The following is a 20,816-nucleotide window of genomic DNA, read 5'->3' as shown; positions in this document are numbered from 1 at the left end:
CTGACGTAGGACGCGCGCCTCCCAGGTGCCAGAGTTCGTATATGACTCCAGTCCTGGCGCTGGATGCTGCTGCTGTTCCAGCTTCCTAGGTGTGGAAACTGAAGGACCAAGAGATTAAACAGGTGTGCTGAGTAAACTCACAGGCTGAGATTCGAATTATCCTCCCCCGACGAGGATGGAGCCTTCGCTGTCTTCCTTGATCGCCACGTTTCTTTGCGAGCCGATGAAGGAAAGCGTGAGGAATGATAAGGCCCTGGAGACTGGAGAACGCGAGCTTATCGCTGTCTCACATGCGCACGGCTTAGACGTTGAGAGCTCACAGGCCCACTTGCATAACCACTTTCTTGATAGCGGGGTTACAGCTTGAGAGCATGGGGCTTTGTGCACGGCCAGACCTAAAGACTACTCCTGGGTCTGCTACTGGCCATTGTGACACCTTAAGTCATTTCCCCTATTCTGAGACTCCGTTTCCCCGTCTGTAAGGTGGAAAGAATAGTATCTGTTTCATAGGATCACAGTGAGTATTAAATGAAATAATGCAATTAAAGAACTCAGCAGGCCGGGCGCGGTGGCTCACGCCTGTAATCCCAGCACTTTGGGAGGCCGAGGCGGGCGGATCACGAGGTCAAAAGATCGAGACCATCCTAGCCAACATGATGAAACCCCGTCTCTACTAAAAATACAAAAATTAGCTAGGCGTGGTGGCGCGAGCCTGTAGTCCCAGCTACTCGGGAGGCTGAAGCAGGAGAATCGCTTGAACCCGGGAGGCAGAGGTTGCAGTGAGCCGACATCGCGCCACTGCACTCCAGCCTGGCGACAGAGCAAGACTCTGTCTCAAAAAGAAAAAAAAAGAAAAAACTCAGCAAATGGCTGACACATGATGGGCATTCAGTAGCCGATGGTTATTACGGTCAAATCCAACCACAGCAACTTACTAGCTGCGTGGCCTTGGGCAAGTGACTTGATCTTCTGAGACTCAGTTTACCCCCTGTGAAGTGAAGGGATTGGACTAGATGATCTCTGCGTTTCCTCCCCCATGTGATATTTCAAAGTACTTTTTTTCGAACAGCTGGTTGTGGCCTGTCAATAGGTTTTAAAATCCGTTTATAGAGAATTGTGATCAACATTTAAAAAAAAAATAGAATACAAAAAAAAAAAAACCCAGAATGTATCACACATTTCAAGTCTCAATTGATGAAACTTTTGTTTCAGTTTTGAGTTTGTATTCAGACACAATATGATGTGTTTTTCATATTGTGGGTTGAGATCAAAATAATTAAAAGTCACTGTTTAGAGGTGAAATAATCTTGTTTTCAGGATAGAATGTTTTCCTACTCCCTGGTGGGGAAAAGACAGGATACAGAAAGAGAGTTATGGGATACCCTGGCTACCCTCTTCCCTTCACATCTGGCTCTGGAGTGCTCAGTGGGGCTGGTGAAGTATAGACCAAAATATCCATTTTTTCAAGTTCCATTCAGAAATATTTTCTGGGCCACATGCAGTGCCTCATGCCTGTAATCTCAGCACTTTTGGGAGGCCAAGGTGGGAGGATCACTTGAGCCCAGGAGTTTGAGACTAGCCTGGGCAACATAGGGAGACCCCATCTTTACAAAAATAATTAAAAATATTAGCCCAGCATGGTGGCTCATGCCTGTGGTCCCAGCTATTTGGGAGGCTGAAGTGGAAGGATCTCCTGAGCCTGGGAGGGTGAGGCTGTAGTGAGCTGTAATCATACCACTGCACTCCAACCTGGGTGTCAGAGCAAGACTGTCTCAAAAAAATAAAAACAAGAAAAATATTTTGATGTCCTATTTTAGTTACTTGTGCAATAAGCAAGCTTGGTTCTGTTTCAAAATAGCTCAGTGCCGTGAATTATTCCTGCTTTTAGGTCACAGTTTCAGGTAAGGGACCTGGAATGTGGCAAACAGTAAATGTTTACTTGACTGATATACTTGGTAGCCTTTCTTTGGTAAGAGTGTCCTTTTGAAGAACCAACTCAGGCCTTACCCCGGAGATCTACTCATTTTGGCTTTTTCCTGTTGCCTTCATTAATGATTTATTTGAGCACTGTGTGCTAAGCACATTATGTAGTTCATCTCAATTAATTGTCACATGAACTTTAAGAGCTAGGTACAGCCAGGTGTGGTGGCTCACACCTGTAACACTTTGGGAGGCCGAGGCGGGTAGATCACTTGAGGTCAGGAGTTTGAGACCAGCCTGGCCAGCATGGTGAAACCCCGTCTCTACTAAAAATAGAAAAATTAGCCAGGCATCGTAGCGTGTGCCTGTAATCCCAGCTACTCGGGAGGCTGAGGCAGGAGAATCGCTTGAACCCAGGAGGCAGAGGTTGCAGTGAGCCGAGATTGTGCCACTGCACTCCAGCCTGAGCGACAGAGCGAGACTCCATCTCAAAAAAAAAAAAAAGAGAGCTAGGTGCTATTACCTACTGTTATCTCCAATTTGAAGATGAGGAAAACTGAGGCTGAAAGAGGCAAACTAACTTGTCTGAGACTAGGTAAAGTTAGGAGGTAACCAGGCTTTGAACACATCCTGTAGTGTTCTTGTAACACATCAGTAGTTTCCTGGTTAGGGTGGGGAGGTTGAGGCGGGAGGTGCACACAAAGTAAATATGCTGTATCAATTAGCTTATGCTGTGTAACAGATTACCCTAAAACTTTGATAGCTTTAAACAACAAACATTGATTAATTCGCATGATCCTGTGGATTAGCTTTTCTGGGCCAGTTCAGCTTGGGCTGGAAAGTTTGGGATGGTCTCACTCTCGTCTGCTTGATGCTGGCTGTTAGCTGGGATGATGGGACCACGTGTCTCCAGCAGACAAGCCTAGCTAAATTACATGGTGATAATTGCAGAGTTCCCAGGAGCAAGAGAGGGCAAGACTCAATTGCACAAGCACTTTTTTTTTTTTTTTTTTTTTTGAGATGGAGTCTTGCTCTGTCACCTAAGCTGGAGTGCAGTGGCACAATCTCCGCTCACTGCAACCTCCCCCTCCCGGGTTCAAGCGATTCTCCTGCCTCAGCCTTCCGAGTAGCTGGGATTACAGGCGCCTGCCACCACGCCTGGCTAATTTTTGTATTTTTAGTAGAGATGGGGTTTCACCATGTTGGGCAGGCTGGTCTCAAACTTCTGACCTCAGGTGATCTGCCCACCTCGGCCTCCCAAAGTGCTAGGATTACAGGCATGAGCCACTGCGCCCTGCCAGCACAAGCACTTTTTAAGCCTTACATCTATAATCTTTCTATAATGACCCATCAGCCAAATCCAAATTCTAGAGTGGAGAGCTAGACTGTAGACTTCACCTCCTGATTGGAAGAACTGCAAAATACTGTGGCTCCTCCCCTCCCAGTAGGTCTGTATTAGTTGTCTTTTGTTGTGTAACAAATTATTCCCAAACTTAATGGCTTAAAACTGTAGCAGGACAAGCTGCAGATAAAACCTGTCAGACACCAGGTTAAAGAAGGAAGAGACTTTATTCGGCCAGGAGCGTTGGCAGAGTTGTGTCTCAAGAACCAAGCTCTCCAAAGAAAAAGTTCCTGGCCCTTTTAAGGGCTTATAACTCTAAGGGGGTCCACGTGAAAGGGTTGTGATAGATTGAGCAAGTGATCTATAGGTAACACATGTGGTTAGGGTGGGGGCGTTAATCTTTAACCTCAGGCCTGGTAAGTGGCATCAGTTGGTCTTGCCACTGACTTCATTCCTGTTGTTTTTCAGCTTTTACTTCTTCCTTCTCTTCAGAGACAGTAAGAGAAATGGCCTCTCTCCTCAAAACAACAATTAACATTTATCATCTCACAGTTTCTGTGAGTTAGGAATTTGAGAGCGTCCTAGCTGGGTGGTTCTGGCTTGGGGTCTCTCATGAGCCTGAAATCATATGAAGGCTTGGCCAGGGCTGGAGAAGCCCCGGCTGGCAAGTTTGTGCAGGCTCTTGGCAGGAGGCCCCAGTTCCTTAACACATGGACCTCTCAATAGTACTGTTTGAGTGTCCTCATGATACAGCAGCTGGTTTTCAGCAGAACAAGTGATCTAAGGGCAAGGTAGAAACCACCAATGTCTTTTATGACCTAGCCACAGAAGTCCCATATTGTCAATTTTGCAACATCCCATGGTTTCACAGGTCAGCCATATTCAGTGTGTGCGGGAACTTCATAAGAGTGCAGATACCAGGAGGTAGAAATCATTAGAGGCCACCTTAGTGGCTGGCTACCATGCTGCCATACATGTTAAGTGGCACTGAAAATGGCTTTATTCTACTGTACTTAATTAGTAGTTTGGCTGTGGATAGAATTCTTTCATAATTGTGAAGAAATTGCTCTGGTTTTCTTCTGGCTTTGATAAATACAATGCTGTTCTGAATCCTGATTCTTTTTATGGGTTTTCCCCCCACCCCACCCCGTTTTCTGGAAGCTTTTAAGATCTTCTCTTGGTATTCTAGAATGTGATGATTTTTGTTGTGCTTTGGTCTCTTTTGTCATTCATTGTGCTGGATACCTGAGGGACCTTTTCAATTTAGAACCCCTAGAACAAAGTGTGAGCACACAGGTTAGGACCTCTGCATGCGTGGACACAAGGCCCTTCCAGGCACACAGATTTAGAGATATGGAGAGAATGGGGCAGGGCTAGGGTCCTGTTCTCTGCCTCTCACCACCTTCTAGTACAGAACTCTGAGAGGCCCAAAAATGTGAATGTGGTCTTCCAGGTCATTGTGAAGGTTTATTTATTGACATAGCAGAATAGATTGTCTTTTATTTAATAGTTCATTAGGGTCATTTATAACTTTTTAAGTATGCATTCAGCTGTATTCTTGCTCCTGTCCTGCAAATATTAGGTTTGGCCTGCTAGGCAAATTGCTTAACCTCTCTAGGTCTCAGATTTTTTTCTTTTTTCTTTTTATTTATTTATTTTTCTAGGCCTCAGATTTGTCTTACATAAAATGGGAATCATAACAGTACCTATGTTGTGGAGTGCTATGACAGTAATGTGAAATAACACATGAAAGTGTTTGGTATAACATCTGGTCCACAGGGAAAGGCTATTACTGTAGCCGCCCCCCTCCCCTGCCCCTGACTCGGTTTTGCTTTCTGTGGTTTCAGTTACATGCAGTCAACCACTGTCCAAAAATATTAAATGGAAATTTTCAGAAATAAACCATCTGTAAATTTTAAATTGCATGCTGTCCTGAGTAGCGTGATGAAGTCTTGTGCTGTCCCGCTCTGTCCACCTGGGGAACCTGAATCGTCCCTTTGTCTAGTGCCTCCACGCTGTATACACTCCCTGTTCGTTAGTCACTTACTAAGTAAGTGCCCTGTTCGTTATCGGATCGACTGCCGTGATATTGCAATGCTTGTGTTCAAGTCACCCTTATTTGACTTAATAATGGCCCCAAAGTGCAAGAGTAGTCATGCTAGCAATTTGGATATGGCAAAGAGAAGCCATAAAGTTCTTTCTTTAAATGAAAAGGTAAAAGTTATAATAAGGAAAGAAAAAATAAAGTGTGCTGAGGTCGCTAAGATCTGTAGTAAGAACGAATCTTCTATCTGTGAAATTATGAAGAAGGAAAAAGAAATACCTGCTAGTTTTGCTGCCACACATGAAACTGCAAAAGTTATGAGCACAGTGCCTGATAACTGTATTACATCATATTGCTATAATTGTTCCATTTTATTATTAGTTGTTTAATCTCATCGTGCCTAATTTATAAATTAAATGTAATCATAGGTATGTATGTATAGAAAAAAGCATAGTACTGTATATATAGCGTTCAGTACTATTTCAGTCATCCCCTGAGGGTCTTGGAACATATCGCCCACAGATAAGGGGGGACTGCGGATAATCCCCAGTTTATGGTGGTTCGACTTATGACTTTGTGACTTTACAGTGGTGCAAAAGTGGTAAGAATTCAGCATTCTCCTCGACAAGTGGACGAGCATCTACTGTGCTTTCACAGCGGCTATCACTATTGCCAGCAGCAAGACTGTCAGCTCGGCGCCCTCGTCTGGTTGGATGGGAAACTGCAGTTGCTAAGGGAGCTGGGTTTGTAAGGAGCCGGCCAGGGTTGCAGGGTGGCTTAGCTGTGATTTGGGAGTAATGCCTTGTGCCTCTGCTTACTGTCTCCTCTCTTGCACTCCTATGTTGCAGGAATCTCTGAGGACAAATGGGAATTCTCACTGATTTCTAGGACTACCCTGGGGCAGGTAAGAAAAGCATCCAAGTTTTTTCCCATTGCTCCATTTATAAACTTTTTTTTTTTTTTGGAGATAGGGTCTCACTCTGCCACCCAGGCTGGAGTGCAGTGGCACAGTCTTGGCTCACTGCAACTTCTGCCTCCTGGGCTCAACCAGTCCTCCCACTTCAGCCTCCTGAGTAGCTGGGACTACAGGTGCATGCCACCATGCCCAGGTAATTTTTGTATTTTTTGTAGAGATGGAGTTTCATCACATTGCCTAGGCTGGTCTCGAAATCCTGGACTCAAGTGATCTGCTGGCCTCAGCCTCCCTAACTGCTGGGACTAGAGGCCTGAGCGACCACCCCTGGCTGTAAACATTTTCTTAGCTCAAGGATTGCTGAATTTGTATCCATTTTCTTCTCTCCTATCTCAATTGGGTGGGTGAAATGATACTGTTAATTATTTTCTGTTACTTTTGAATGCTTCTTTGTGGCGAACTGAGGGCATAGTAATACTGTAGCAGCTAACAACCATATGGGTCCCGAGGGCTTTACTAATGTTATTTTTTAATTTTCCTAATTGCAGGTGTTTTATTATTAGCTTCATTTTATAGATGAGAAAACTGGGCACAGAGAGGCTGAGTTACTTGCTCAAGTTCATACAGGTGGTCAGTAGTAGAGCTAGGATTTGAACCCGGCAGTCAGCCTCGGGAGTTCATGTTATTTTTATTTATTTATTTTTTGAGACAAGGTCTTGCTCTGCCACGCAGACTGGAGTGCAGTGTCGTGATCTCAGCTCACTGCAGCCTTGACACCCCCAGGCTTAAGTGATCCTCCTGCCTCAGCCTCTTGAGTAGCTGGGACTACAGGCACACATCACCATGCCTGGCTAATTTTTGTATATTTTGTAGAGACGGAGTTTTGCCATGTTGCCGAGGCTGGTCTCAAACTCCTGGGATCAAAGGATGCGCCCCTGTTAGCCTCCCAAAATGCTGGGATTATAGGTGTGAGCTACCGAGTCTATGTTCTTTTTTTTTTTTTTTTGAGGCAGAGTCTCGCTCTGTCCCCCAGGCTGGAGTGCAGTGGCGCGATCTCAGCTCACTGCAAGCTCCGCCTCCCGGGTTCACGCCATTCTCCTGCGTCAGCCTCCAGAGTAGCTGGGACTACAGGCACCCGCCACCACGCCGGGCTAATTTTTTCTATTTTTAGTAGAGACGGGGTTTCGCCGTGTCAGCCAGGATGGTCTCGATCTCCTGACCTCGTGATCTGCCCGCCTCAGGCTCCCAAAGTGCTAGGATTACAGGTGTGAGCCACCGTGCCTGGCCTGAGTCCATGTTCTTAACCACACTGAACCTCCTCCAAATATTATTTAATATTTATGATTTACGATGTGCCAGGCTGAGACCCCAGAGCTTAGGCTCTTCTCCACCATGCTGCACTTACCAGCTGTGTTACCTTGGACAAGTCATTTTCCTCAGAGCTTAGGTTATAACAACAACTGTTTACTAAATGCCCACTCCGTGATTGGCGCCTGGCCTAATCCATCATCATCATCATCCTGGCTAACATGTCCTGAGCTGTTTCTGTGTGCCAGGCACTGTTCTAAGCATTTTAACACTGCAAGGTTGATTTATTTTCCCTTGTTTTTTTTTTTTTTTTTTTTTTTGAGATGGAGCCTCGCTCTGTCACCCAGGCTGAGTGCAGTGGCACAATCTCAGCTCACTGCAACCTCCACCTCCTGGGTTCAAGTGATTCTTCTGCTTCAGCCTCCTGAGTACCTGGGACTACAGGCGCACACCACCATACCCAGCTAATTATTATTATTATTATTTTAATTAATTAATTTTTTTTTTTTGAGACAGAGTCTCACTCTGTCGCCCAGGCTAGAGTGCAGTGGCATGATCTCGGCTCACTGCAAGCTCCATCTCCCGGGTTCACGCCATTCTCCTGCCTCAGCCTCCCGAGTAGCTGGGACCACAGGTGCCCACCACCACGCCCAGCTAATTTTTTGTATTTTTATTAGAGACAGGGTTAGTAGAGATGGTCTTGATCTCCTGACCTCGTGATCCGCCCACCTTGGCCTCCCAAAGTGCTGGGATTACAGGCGTGAGCCACAGCACCCAGACTTTTTTTTTTTTTTTTTTTTTTGTGAGATGGAGTCTCACTCTGTCACCTAGGCTGGAGTGCAGTGGCGTAATCTCGGCTCACTGCGACTTCCACCTTCCAGGTTCAAGCAATTCTCCTGCCTCTTCCTCCTGAGTAACTGGAATTACAGGCTCACACCACCACACCTGGCTAATTTTTGTATTTTTAATAAAGACAGGGTTTCACCATGATGGTCAGGCTGGTCTCGAACTCCTGACCTCGTGACCCGCCTTCCTTGACCTCCCAAAGTGCTGGGATTACAAGCGTGGGCCACCACGTCTGGCCTAATTTTTGTATTTTTAGTAGATACCGGGTTTCACCATATTGGCCAGGCTGGTCTCGAGCTCCTGACCTCGTGATCCGCCTGCCTGGGCCTCCCAAAGTGCTGGGATTACAGGTGTGAGCCACCACGCCCAGCCTATTTTCCTCATTTTTAGAGAAAGAAACTGAGAGATTAAGTGACATGCTCAAGTCCACATGGCTAGAAAGTGTGGGGTTTGAAGCCAAGTCTGACGTCTGACTCCACAGCCTGTGCCCTTAGCTGCCCTTCTCTGAGCCTTGTGGATTACCTAGAGCCCAGGCTGTCATGATTACCTTTGGAGGTTTTTTTGTTTTTTTTGGTCAGCATACATTTTTCTCTGGATTTTTAGTTTTTTCCAATAAGTTTTGGGGGAACAGGTGGTGTTTGGTTACATGAATAAGTTCTTTAGTGGTGATCTCTGAGGTTTTGGTGCACCCAACCTTTGGAATCTTTAATGCTGTTAGCAAATATTCCCAATTCTCTGCATCCAGGAACATGGATGGATTGTGCTTCCTTGACCCCATGAATTAAGGTGCAGCCAATGCAATATGATGGCAATGATAGATGTCACTTCTAGACAAAACTTAACAGTTATATCAATATTGTAATTAATATTATTTTTTATTATTATAATTAATGTTAATAATATATTAATATTCTCTACTTGCCTCGAAGATCTTACAAGCATGGGAATGGCACCTCCCTTAGCCTGGGCCCCTGAGTGAGGATGACATAAAGCAGATCCCTGTCAGACTCACAATGGACAGGCGGTGAGACCTCTGTTGTTGCAAGCCACTGAGATTTGAGGGTTGTTGCTGCAACAGAACCATGTCCAAGGCTTCTCAACCTTGGCTCTATTTACATTTTCGGCCAGATAATTCTTTGTTGGGGGAGGGGCGCTGTCTTGTGCATTGTAGCATGGATAGCAGCATCCGTGGCCTCTGCCCACTAGATGCCCATAGCTCCCCAACAACAGCGACAACCAAAATGTCTCCAGATGTTGCCAAGTGTCATACTGGGAACAAAGTCACCTCTAGTTGAGAACTACTGCTGAGCCTATTCCTTTTTCCTTTTTTTTTTTTTTTTTTTTTTTGAGACAGGGTCTCACTTTGTCACCCAGGCTGGAGCTTTGTCACTCAGTGCAAACTTTGCTTCCCAGGTTCAAGAGATTTTCCCACCTCAGCCTCCCAAGTAGCTGGGACTGCAGGCATACGCCACCACACCTGGCTAATTTTTGTATATTTTGGTAGAGACGGAGTTTCACCATGTTGGCAGGCTGGTCACAAACTCCTGACCTCAAGTGATCCACCTGCCTCACCTCCAAAGTTCTGGGATTACAGGCATGAGCCACCGCACCTGGCCGGCCATTTTCTTTAAATCCAGAAGAGGTGGCAACACTGGGCCCTGTCTTCAACCCGGAAGCAATAAAGTGGAGCTGTGTGAATAGCTCCATTTTCTTTCTGTTCCCATCACAGCCTGCTGTCACATACCAAACCCCTGGTATTTGAGTTTGTGGCCGTAAGAAATTAGGTGGTCTTCCTTTTTAGTGGTTGTTAGAAGCTGCAGTTTAAGGGACCCGAAAAAATTAGAATGGGGCCCCAAAACAGAAAAGTCAAACTAACTCTGAGGAAGCAGGCACTAAGATTTCATTTATCAGGAAGGACTTGTTGACCTCAAAATAGTTCTTAGCTTGTGACCCTGAAGTTTGAATTCCCATCAGTAAAAAACAAAACCTTTTTCTTTCATTCCACATTTAGAGGGAAAGAAGGAGGGACACTAAAATGTGGCTCCCCTTCTGTCATTGAATCCTTATAAGAATTCCTGCAGAGTGTCATAATTCCCATTTTACCAATGAGGAAACTGAGGCTCAGAGAGGTGTGGGAGTGGTGGAGGCAGGATTTGAACCTGGGTCTCATCCCAAAGGTCATGCATGCTTTTTCCACTACACTAGACATTCCCAAACCAGGCCGCTCATCGAGTTCATTGGGGGAAGCCTACAAAAGCGTACCTGTTTCCAGATCCTACCTTTGACCTATTCAACCATATTTCTTCAGTAGGGCCCAGAAACCTGTACTTTAAAGAATTATTTGTGGCCGGGCGCCGTGGCTCACGCCTGTAATCCCAGCACTCTTGGAGGCCGAGGTGGGTGGATCACGAGGTCAGGAGATCAAGACCATCCTGGCTAACACGGTGAAACTCCGTCTCTACTAAAAATACAAAAAATTAGCCGAGCGTGGTGGCGAGAGCCTGTAGTCCCAACTACTCGGGAGGCTGAGGCAGGAGAATGGCGTGAACCGGGAGGTGGAGCTTGCAGTGAGCGGAGATCGCGCCACTGCACTCCAGCCCTGGTGACAGAGTGAGACTCCGTCTCAAAAAAAAAAAAAAAAAAAAAAAAAAAAGCCAGGCGCGGTGGCTCACGCCTGTAATCCCAGCACTTTGGGAGGCCGAGGCGGGCAGATCACGAGGTCAAGAGATCGAGACCATCCTGGCCAACATGGTAAAACCCCGTGTCTACCAAAAATACAGAAATTAGCTGGGCATGGTGGCGCACACTCGTAGTCCCAGCTTCTCGGGAGCCTGAGGCAGGAGAATTGCTTGAATCCGGGAAGCGGAGGTTGCAGTGAGCCAAGATCGCGCCACTGCACTCCAGCCTGCCAATAGAGCAAGACTTTGTCTCAAAAAAAAAAAAAAAAAAAAGAATTATTTGTGCAGTTATTTGATAACTGTCTCCCTACTAGATGAAAGCTTCATGAGGGCAAGGGCCATGTCTCTTTTTTTTTTTTTTTTTTTTTTGAGACGGAGTTTTGCTCTTGTCCAGACTGGAGTGCAGTGGCACAATTTCGGCTCACCGCAACCTCCACCTCCTGGGTTCAAGCGATTCTCCTGCCTCAGCCTCCCAAGTAGCTGGGATTACAGGCATGCACCACCACGCCCAGCTAATTTTGTATTTTTAGTAAAGACGGAGTTTCTCCATGTGGGTCAGGCTGGTCTCGAACTCCTGGCCTCAGGTGATTCATCTGCCTTGACCTCCCAAAGTGCTGGGATTACAGGCATGAGCCACCATGCCTGGCCTTTTTTTTTTTTTTCTTTTTTCTTTTTTGAGACAGGGTCTTGCTCTTTCACCCGGGCTGGTGCGCAGTGGGATGATCTTGGCTCACTGCAGCCTCAACCTCCCCGAGTTCAAGCAATCCTCCCACCTCAGCCTCCTGAGTAGCTAGAACTACAGGTTCATGCCACCATGCCCAACTAATATTTTATTTTATTTTGTTTTATTTTTATTTTATTTTGAATGGCATGATCTTGGCTCACTTCAACCTCCACCTCCCAGGTTCAAGGTATTCTCCTGCTTCAGCCTCCCGAGTAGCTGGGATTATAGGCATGTGCCACCACACCCGGCTAATTTTGTATTTTTAGTAGAGATGGGGTTTCTCCATGTTGGTCAGGCTGGTCTTGATCTCCTGACCTCAGGTGATCTGCCCGCCTCAGCCTCCCAAAGTGCTGGGATTACAGGCATGAGCCACCGCGCCTGGCCTAATATTTTATTTTTTTAGAGACAAGATCTCACTATGTTGCCCAGGCTAGTTTCAACCTCCTGGACTCAAGTAATCTCTCACCTTGGCCCCCCAAAGTGCTGGGATTACAGCTGTGAGCCACTGTCCCCAGCCTGCCATGTCTGACTTAGTCAGTGACACAGAGTGGGAAGCAATGCAAGTATTTGCTTACTACTAAATCAACAAGCTTCCTAGTCCTGACCTAGGGACCTGCTGTGAAGAGCTATTCCACTGTGGCAAATTCTCTGGAGCAGTTCTCAAACTTCAGTGTACATTTTAAGAATTGCTTAGTGTCGGCCGGGCGTGGTGGCTCATGACTGTAATCCCAGCACTTTGGGAGGCAGAGGCGGGTGGATCATTTGAGGTCAGGAGTTCAAGACTAGCCTGGCCAACATGGTGAAACCCCGTCTCTACTAAAAATACAAAAATTAGCCGGGTTGTAGTGATGCATGCCTATAATCCCAGCTACTTGGGAGACTGAGGCAGGAGAATCGCTTGAGCCTGGGAGGCGGAGGTTGCAGTGAGCTGAGATCACGCCACTGCACTCCAGTCTGGGGAACAGAGCAAGACTCCATCCCCCCAAAAAAAAAATGCTTAGTGTCAGGCCAGGCACAATGGCTCATGCCTGTAATCCCAGCACTTTGGGAGGTCGAGGCAGGTGGATCTCACCTGATCTCACCTGAGGTCAGGAGTTCAAGACCAGCCTAGCCAACATGGTGAAACCCATCTCTACTAAAAATACAAAAGTTGGTGGTGCACGCCTGTAGTCCCAGCTACTAGGGAGGCTGAAGCAGGAGAATCACATGAACCCGGGAGGCAGAGGTTGCAGTGAGCCGAGAGTGATCAAGCTACTGCATTCCAGCCTGGGTGACAGAGTGAGACTTCACCTCAAAAAAAAAAAAAAAAAAAAAAAAAAAAAAAAAAAAAAAAAAAAAATCGCTTAGTGTCTCAGTCATTTCAGGCTACTGTAACAACTTACCATAGACTGACTGGCTTAGGCAACAAACATTTACTTCTCACAGTTCCAGAGGCTGGAAGTCCAAGATCAAGGCGCTGGCCAATTCTGTGTCTGGTGAGGGCCCTCTTCTTGGTTTGCAGACTGCCGTCCTCTCATTTCCTCACATGGTGGAGAACAAGGAGCAAGAGCAACTCTCATTTCTCTTATGAGGGAGAATCCTATTCATGAAGCCTCTACCCACGTGACCTAATTACCTCCAAAGGCCTATCTAATACTGTCACACTGGGTCTTAGGATTTCAGCATAGGCATTTTGGGGGGACACAAACATTTAGTCCATAACACTTGAGTTGCATCTTTTTAAATGCATATTCTGAGGCCCCAACCCAAGACTCTGTGCTTGAGAAACAGATACAGTGATATAAAATTTTGATGGCTGGAACTTTCCTTAGTCTTTGAAAAGAGTTGAGACAATAGACATCATAGAGAAGTTCAGGGGGCCGGGCGAGGTGCCTCATGCCTGTAATCCCTGCACTTTGGAGGCCAAGGTAGAGTGATTAAGCTCAAGAGTTCAAGACCAGCCTGGGCAACACGGCAAAACTCCATCTCCCAAAAAAATACCAAAAAATTATCTGGGAGTGGTGGTGCACATCTGTAGTCACAGCTACTTGGGAGGCTGAGGTGGGAGGAATACTTGAGCCTGGGAGGTTGACGCTGCAGTGAGCCAAGATCCCACCGCTGCACTCCAGCCTGGGTGACAGAGTGAGACTGTCTCAAAAAGAGTGAGAGAAAGAAGTTCAGGGGCCTCTGAAGACAAACTGTTTCACCATTTAGCAAATAACCAGGAAGAGATGAAAGTGGATGAGAAACCCTGTGATGGGGGCATCTGTCAAGTTGATAAGCCAGGTAGGATTCTGCTGGGCATCAGTTACATGAAGCAGACAAAAGATATCATTCTTAGAAATGACTGTTGAACTTGAGGATAAAGAATTTTTAGGCTGGGCACGGTGGCTCACACCTGTAATCCCAGCACTTTGGGAGGCCAAAGCGGGCAGATGGCTTGAGGTTGGGAGTTGCAGACCAGCCTGGCCAACGTGGTGAAACCCTGTCTCTACTAAAAATATAAAAATTAGCTGGGCGTGGTGGCACATGTCTGTAATCCCAGCTACTCGCGAGGCTGAGGCTGCAGTGAGCCGAGATCGTGCAACTGCACACCAGCCTGGGCAACAGAGCGAGACTCCATCACAAAAAAAGAATTTAAAAAAAAAAAACAGAAACGACTCTGGCCTTGGCTCAGGCATCTTTTGTTTTGGAGGTCAGCTTTGCTTCAGAGGCCAAATTGGGTATGCATGTCAGTGTATGAGATGGTAAATGTGACTGAGAGCATGTGTTTTGGAGTCAGGCCAATACATAGCACCACTGCTCACTGATTCTGTGAACTTAGGCAAGTTCTTCATCTCTCTGTGCTTCGGTTTTTCTCATTTTCATTAAAACAATTTTTTAAAATTTATTTCTACAGACACTATGGTGACTTAAGTTCTCATTTTTATTTTTTAATCCCCTGGATTTACCAGGATTAAGTTGTCATTTTTAAAATGGGGCCATGACTGTTTACCTCACAGGATCATTGTGATAACAGAGGCAGTGTACAGAAGAAGGAATGGTGGCACCTAGTAGGTGCATAATCAATAAAGTCAGTTACTCCTCCCTAACTGTTAAGTGTCAGAGTCTATTACTCCATATCCTAAGGTCTAATACAGGTCCTGGCTCAGCAAATGTTTAATTAATCGATAAAGGACAGATTTGTATGTTTGATGGAAGGTCCAATCCACTTGCTGTATGCAGGGTTGAAGCCAAATCCATGGCTCCATTAGCAAGTGCTAAAGCTCCTGCAGGTCAGCCAGAGCCACCACAGCAGGTTCTCATTAAGTCTTTGCTGGCACGACTTTCCTGCATTCATGTTCCTTCTGTACTCATTAGAACGCCCGTGTAAGCTGAGACCTACTGGTCCCTCACAGCCCGTGGAAACTGAAAGGCAGAGTGGCACAAACCTTGCAGTTAGAGAATCACGGTGTCAAATCCTTCCTTTTGCCACTTTATTAGCTACGCAACTTGGCCATGTTAATTTCACTCCTTTCCCCCCCCTCCCCGTTTGTTTTTTATTTTTTTGGAGACAGGGTCTTGCTCTGTCGCCCATGCTGGACTGCAGTGGCAATCATGGCTTATTGCAGCCTCAACCTCCTGGGCTCAAGCCATCCTCCCACCTCTACCTCCCGAGTGGCTGGGACCAAAGGTGTGTGCCACCACACCCAGCTAGTTTTGTATCTTTTGTAGAGATAGAGTTTTGCCATGTTGCCAAGGCTGGTCTCAAACTCTTGAACTCCAGCAATCCACCCTCCTTGGCCTCCCAAAGTGTTGGGATTACAGGCATGAGCCACAGTCCCTCCTAACCCCCTACCCCTGTTTTTTTTTTGAGACAAAAAAAGAGATGGGGTTTTGCCATGTTGCCCAGGCTGGTCTTGCTCTGTCACCTAGACTGGAGTGCAGTAGCATAATCACAGCTCACTGTAGCCTCGACCTCCCAAGCTCAAGTGATCCTCCCACCTCAGCCTTTCACATAGCTGGGACTATAGGTGCACCATCACACCTGGCTAATTTTTAATCTTTTTCTAGAGACAGGGTCTCAATATGTTGCTCAGGCTGGTCTTGAACTCTTGGGCTCAAGCAATCCTGCCTCCGCCCTTCAGTGTTGGGATTACAGATATGAACCACCATGCCCGGCCCCATTTCACCCCTTTGAACCAGTTTCTAATTTTAAGATGGGGTTACCAGGGTTCCAAGTATAATAAGGGACAGTGCCTGTTCCCCACAAATGCTGAGTTCCCGCCCTTTGCTCACAGAATTCTTTCCGTCTGAAATTCCTCTTACTACTAAATTCGGCATCGTTTAAGGCCCAGCCCAAGGATGCTGATTAAGATCTCTGCCTTAGGAGGGTGCGGTGAGCTGAGATTGCCTCCTCCATCTCAAAAAAAAAAACAAAAAAAAAAACTCTGCCTTAAACAGTCCAAGAATCAGGCATTTTCTAACTTCTTTCCACTGATGCTATAAGTAAGGAAGACACAGTATATGGAGTTTGTTTTTTATTTAGACATGGAATTTTCCTTTTCATATAACTTATCTAATTAAAATATTCATCTCGGTAGTTACCACAAAAAAGTAACATAGAAAATTGTATTTACATTTTGGGACCAAAATACAAATGAAGAGCAGGATGACACCTTGCTCCTTTCCCTCCCGCTTCCCAGAAAGAAAAAGCCCCAAAGAAACTGCTCAGTACACCAAGGATCACAAAAGGGTAATTTGTAATTTGGTGATTTGTATGTAGTGTAGCACAGAAAAAAAATTGCACAAGTTTTTCCATAAATGAGACCAAAGGTTCAAATTCATCCTGTGTCAGGTTCAAATTCATCCTGTGTCTGCTCTGCAGCCATTTTAGTAAGCTGGGCAAGGAGGTCATTTAGAAATTGGGTTTTTCCTCTTTCCCCTGACTCTTCGCACCAAGTCACATCCCTGATGTAGATACTCTTGGGGGAGGGGAAAACATCTGGCTCTATGCAAACAGGGCTCATCAAAAATCTTTATGTGCCAAAATGGATACTGACATTGCTATGAACAAATCTGTTTTTTCTTCCCTCCCTGCCTAAAGACTCCTAATAAGGGACATTAAATCATACACAACTGAATCTAAGATATGAAAAACTAGTTTCAATGACAAAGACTTGAACACACAGTTAAGAGATAAATTCAAGGTGGTAGACACCTAGAAAAAGCTATTCTAGGCAGCAGACATCTGGCACCTGACCCAAATGTTCATTTGGTTTCAGTTAAGAGGCTTCCTAATATTAGATTTGTGGGGCAGGCTAGGGATAGGGGTGGAATGGTGGTACAAGTAACCAAGAGAAGTAAAGTAATGCTTTACCCATTCAAAAATATAGCAAATTAAAACATAGTAACATTTGTGTCCTGTCACAATAGGCACCCTGCACAGCAATACACACTGAACAATGTCGAGTTTCTGCTGAATAGACTTCCTACGTTGCTCTGGAATTCGAAGTTGGCCTAACTGAGGTCTCCAGTTACAGAAAACACTGGCTCTGTATCCTGGGCTTTGAGAAAACTTATCAGGCTGTCACACTTACCATCCCTTCAGTCTGCTTGTCAGGTTCCTTAAGGACGCATATCTCAAATGTATGGCATCTACCTCTACCTGGGTCACAACCAAGTGGGTTTCTACTAGATCGGTGTTCCTTGACAGCCAACAAGGGAGCTGACACTGCCCTCCTAAGTTCTGATCTTGCTCCTGTTCAACTGGAACTTGATGGATCCCATGTGGTTTCCCCCATCCTGACGCTGTGGCTCAGACACTCTCCCTAAGCTGGTCCTTCCCTCCAAATCCTGCCTTAAACACACTCAGAAGGTAGAAAACACTTCAGCAGCAAAGTCCTCTTCCCAAGCCAACAGTTGTGTTCTTCCAATCACATGATCTTACCTTTTCAATAAAAGGCAAAACAAACCAATTTCCAACATAGCATTACAGCCTTTAAAACCATTCACTTCTCATAGTGATTCACAGAGAACAAGAGATTAAAGTGCTGGATTTTAAATGTCTAAAGTTGCCTTCAGGGCTACAAAAAGCCCTGCCGTGTGTGTTTTTCCTTCATGGTGTTGAGGGGAAGGAAAGATAGGGAAGGGCAGTGGGGAGAAACCCTAAAATTTTCAATCAGAAACTGGAAATTGTAAAAGTGGGAGGTGGGGAGTTCTGTGCAAATCAATCTCCCAAGGTTCTGCGTCCTCTAGTGAGCCTCAAAGAAAAAAAAAAAAACAAAAAGGTGGGGACTCGCAAAAAGGATGAGGGAAAGGCTCCAGACCTACAGAGCACCTCCCTTAATAAATACCAGTTAGTAAGAAAGAGATGCACCTGCACAGGAATGCACAGCAACAGTGGGGAGGGCCTGAGGTGGAGTCCGCCGAGCACCCTGTCGCCCCACTGAGGCTCCCTTGGGGACAGGCGGTCTAGTGCTCATTCCTTGCCCTACGTGCAGCAGGTACTGTGCAGGCTCTGGAGATGCCCAGTCCTCTGTCTGGACCAGAGTCCACACAGAGCTGAGCTGGGGCAGGAGACTGGCTTTCACTAGGCTTTCATCTGATTTTAATAAGGACCTGGAAGATAAAAGGCTAAATGTGTGGTAGAGGACAAAAAACAAAAACAAACCTGGGGGATAATATAAATACAATCTGGGGGCAATATTTATTAATTAAAACTACGTCTTATAGTTTACAAAGATGCTAATGAACAACAAAAGTATAATTGACCTTTAAAATCCTCAGTGAGACAGAGGCTTCACATCTTCAGAATTCTAAAGTGTGCTCCAGGCAGGGAGGCGGGGCTGTGGCACGCAGGTTCCCAGGGGCAGCACCTGCAGACTGCAGGACTCGGAGACCAAAAGGATCCACAAAGCAAGACTCCAGTCTCCTGTAGAATTCCATTCCCCAACCCCCACTGTCCTTGTATTCCTGCCTCCCCAGATTCCATTTCCAAGGCAAGTCCTCAGTTTATCGTCGGGAGAATCTGTTCTTGAAAGCTTTAATTGTCTTGGCCATCATTGGGGCAATTTCTGTGAAAAGAGAAACAAGGCAGCTGTCTCAGATCTGTGGCGGCTTAGACACACCCCCAGTAGTTTACAGTCAAAGCCAGCTCTGCTATTCTTGGCTGTGCACCACCAGGCAGAGATACAAGTAGTAACTATCTCCTCTGTTCACAATGCAATAAAAGCAACAGCACAGAGCAGACACTTTCGGAGGACCTGCCAGGGGCATGACCACCACTCTCTCTAACCACCTGCACCAAGGCTCAGAGAGCCTGGCCAACTTGCCCATGGTTGTACAGTAAGGTACAGAATTACAATTCAATCTCTGTCAGACTTTCTTGTTTTTATTTTTGTAAGGAAAGAGTCTCACTCTGTCACCCTGGCTAGGGTGCATTGGCACAATCACAGCACACTGTAGCCTCTACCTCCTAGACTCCAGAGTAGCTGAGACTACAGGAGTGTGCCACCATGCCTGGCTAATTTTTTTTTATTTTCTGTAGAGTCAGGGTCTCACTATGTTGCTCAGGCTGGTCTCGATCTCCTGGGCTCAAGCACCCTCCTACCCCAGCCTCCCAAAGTGCTGGGATTACAGGTGTGTGTGAACCACTGTGCCCCGGCCCTTGCCAGACTCTAAAGGCCATACTCAGTCATAACTTAACTTTGCCTCACAAATAGCCAAACCAGTAAACAGCACGTCTACCCCCAATCTGTCCAGTGTAGAAACAGGTCTAAGGTGGCTATGCAAGTACTGCCTAAGGAAGGCCAGCCTGCCTCCTGAATGGTTCATCTGAGCATAGCTGTAGCTCAAGCCAGGACTCCCACCCTCCCATGGGCCCTGCAATTAATACAGAATAAGACTTAAGTTAGGACATCCCCTTAGGATACTGGGGATAGTCTATGGTAATAAAGTTAACAAAATACAAAATAGACGCAACTAGATATAAAGAATAAATATTTGGAAGACCCGGCCAGGCATGGTGGTTCACGCTGGTAATCCCAGGACTTTGGGAGGCTGAGGCGGGCGAATCACAAGGTCAGGGGTTCGAGACCAGCCTGGCCAACATGGTGAAACCCCGTGTCTACTAAAAATACAAAAAATTAGCTGGGCTTAGTGGCGGGCACCTGTAATCCCAGCTACTTGGGAGGCTGAGGCAGGAGAATCGCTTGAACCTGGGAGGTGGAGGTTGCAGTGAGCCGAGATCACGCCACTGTACTCCAGCCCAGGCGACAGAGTGAGACTCTGTCTCCAAAAAAAAAAAAAAAAAAAAAAAAAAAAAAATAAATAAATAAATTGGAAGACCCAATTAGATATAAAGAATAAATATTTGGAAGCTAGAGTTATAAGACTATAAAAAAACAGTAAGAGGGCCTGTCATTTAGCTGTTAATATTAGTAATTATGAACACTGTGGTATTGCCTAGAGAAGTCAGTTTATATTTAGGTGAAAAAAGAAGAGTGCCAAAATGGTCATTCACAATGATATTTATTTATTTATTTAGAGACAGTGTCTCACTCTGTCATCCAGGCTGGAGGGCAGTGGCACAATCCCAGCTCACTGCAACCTCTGCCTGCCAGGTTCAAGCAATTCTCCTGTCTCAGCCACCCGAGTACCTGAGATTATAGGCACATGCCACCATGGTGGGCTAATTTTTCTATTTTTAATAGAGACAGGGACCATGCCTGGCCAGATACTATTTTCTACTTTCACTTTTTTTTTTTTTTTTTTTCCAGAGACAGGGTCGGCCGGGCACAGTGGCTCACGCCTGTAATCCCAGCACTTGGGAGGCCAAGGCGGGCAGATCGCGAGGTCAGGAGATCGAGACCATCCTGGCTAACATGGTGAAACCCCGTCTCTACTAAAAAATAGAAAAAATTAGGTGGGCATGGTGGTGGGCACCTGTAGTTCTAGCTACTTGGGAGGCTGAGGCAGGAGAATGGCATGAACCTGGAAGGCAGAGCTTGCAGTGAGCTGAGATTGTGCCACTGCACTCCAGCCTGGGTGACAGAGCGAGACTCCATCTCAAAAAATCCTCC

At 46.0% G+C, this 20,816-nt stretch overlaps 1 protein-coding gene and 1 long non-coding RNA gene across 2 annotated transcripts in view, besides 3 other annotated features; one reads left to right on the top strand and one right to left on the bottom strand.

The window, feature by feature from the left end:
- ELOA-AS1 (ELOA antisense RNA 1) lies at positions 24–17,939 on the top strand. Its single transcript, NR_038280.1, has 4 exons — positions 24–122; positions 5,895–6,053; positions 6,155–6,210; positions 17,170–17,939. It is a non-coding gene; the product is annotated as an ELOA antisense RNA 1 (long non-coding RNA).
- Positions 227–1,179: an enhancer, noted in NCBI's record as "H3K27ac-H3K4me1 hESC enhancer chr1:24103632-24104584 (GRCh37/hg19 assembly coordinates)". NCBI's record gives its function as "activates a minimal SCP1, AML or CMV promoter by ChIP-STARR-seq in primed H9 embryonic stem cells {active_cell/tissue: H9 hESC(primed)}" and the evidence as "EXISTENCE:reporter gene assay evidence [ECO:0000049][PMID:30033119]".
- Positions 5,188–5,482: a silencer, noted in NCBI's record as "tiled region #12147; HepG2 Repressive non-DNase unmatched - State 23:Low". NCBI's record gives its function as "represses a minimal TATA promoter and a strong SV40 promoter by Sharpr-MPRA in HepG2 cells {active_cell/tissue: HepG2}" and the evidence as "EXISTENCE:reporter gene assay evidence [ECO:0000049][PMID:27701403]".
- Positions 12,228–12,522: a silencer, noted in NCBI's record as "tiled region #2978; HepG2 Repressive DNase matched - State 8:EnhW". NCBI's record gives its function as "represses a minimal TATA promoter and a strong SV40 promoter by Sharpr-MPRA in HepG2 cells {active_cell/tissue: HepG2}" and the evidence as "EXISTENCE:reporter gene assay evidence [ECO:0000049][PMID:27701403]".
- ELOA (elongin A) overlaps positions 16,262–20,816 on the bottom strand; it is an 18,589-nt gene continuing 14,034 nt past the window's right edge. Inside the window, exon 11 of the mRNA NM_003198.3 lies at positions 16,262–18,809. Coding sequence (NP_003189.3) covers positions 18,748–18,809 — 62 coding nt within the window. The 3' untranslated portion in view covers positions 16,262–18,747. The remainder of the gene's footprint in view (positions 18,810–20,816) is intronic.

Source organism: Homo sapiens, chromosome 1 (genome assembly GCF_000001405.40).
Source record: "Homo sapiens chromosome 1, GRCh38.p14 Primary Assembly".
Lineage (NCBI taxonomy): Eukaryota > Metazoa > Chordata > Mammalia > Primates > Hominidae > Homo > Homo sapiens.
The sequence above is the reverse complement of the archived record's forward strand: the minus strand, read 5'-3'. Positions and strand labels throughout refer to the sequence as shown.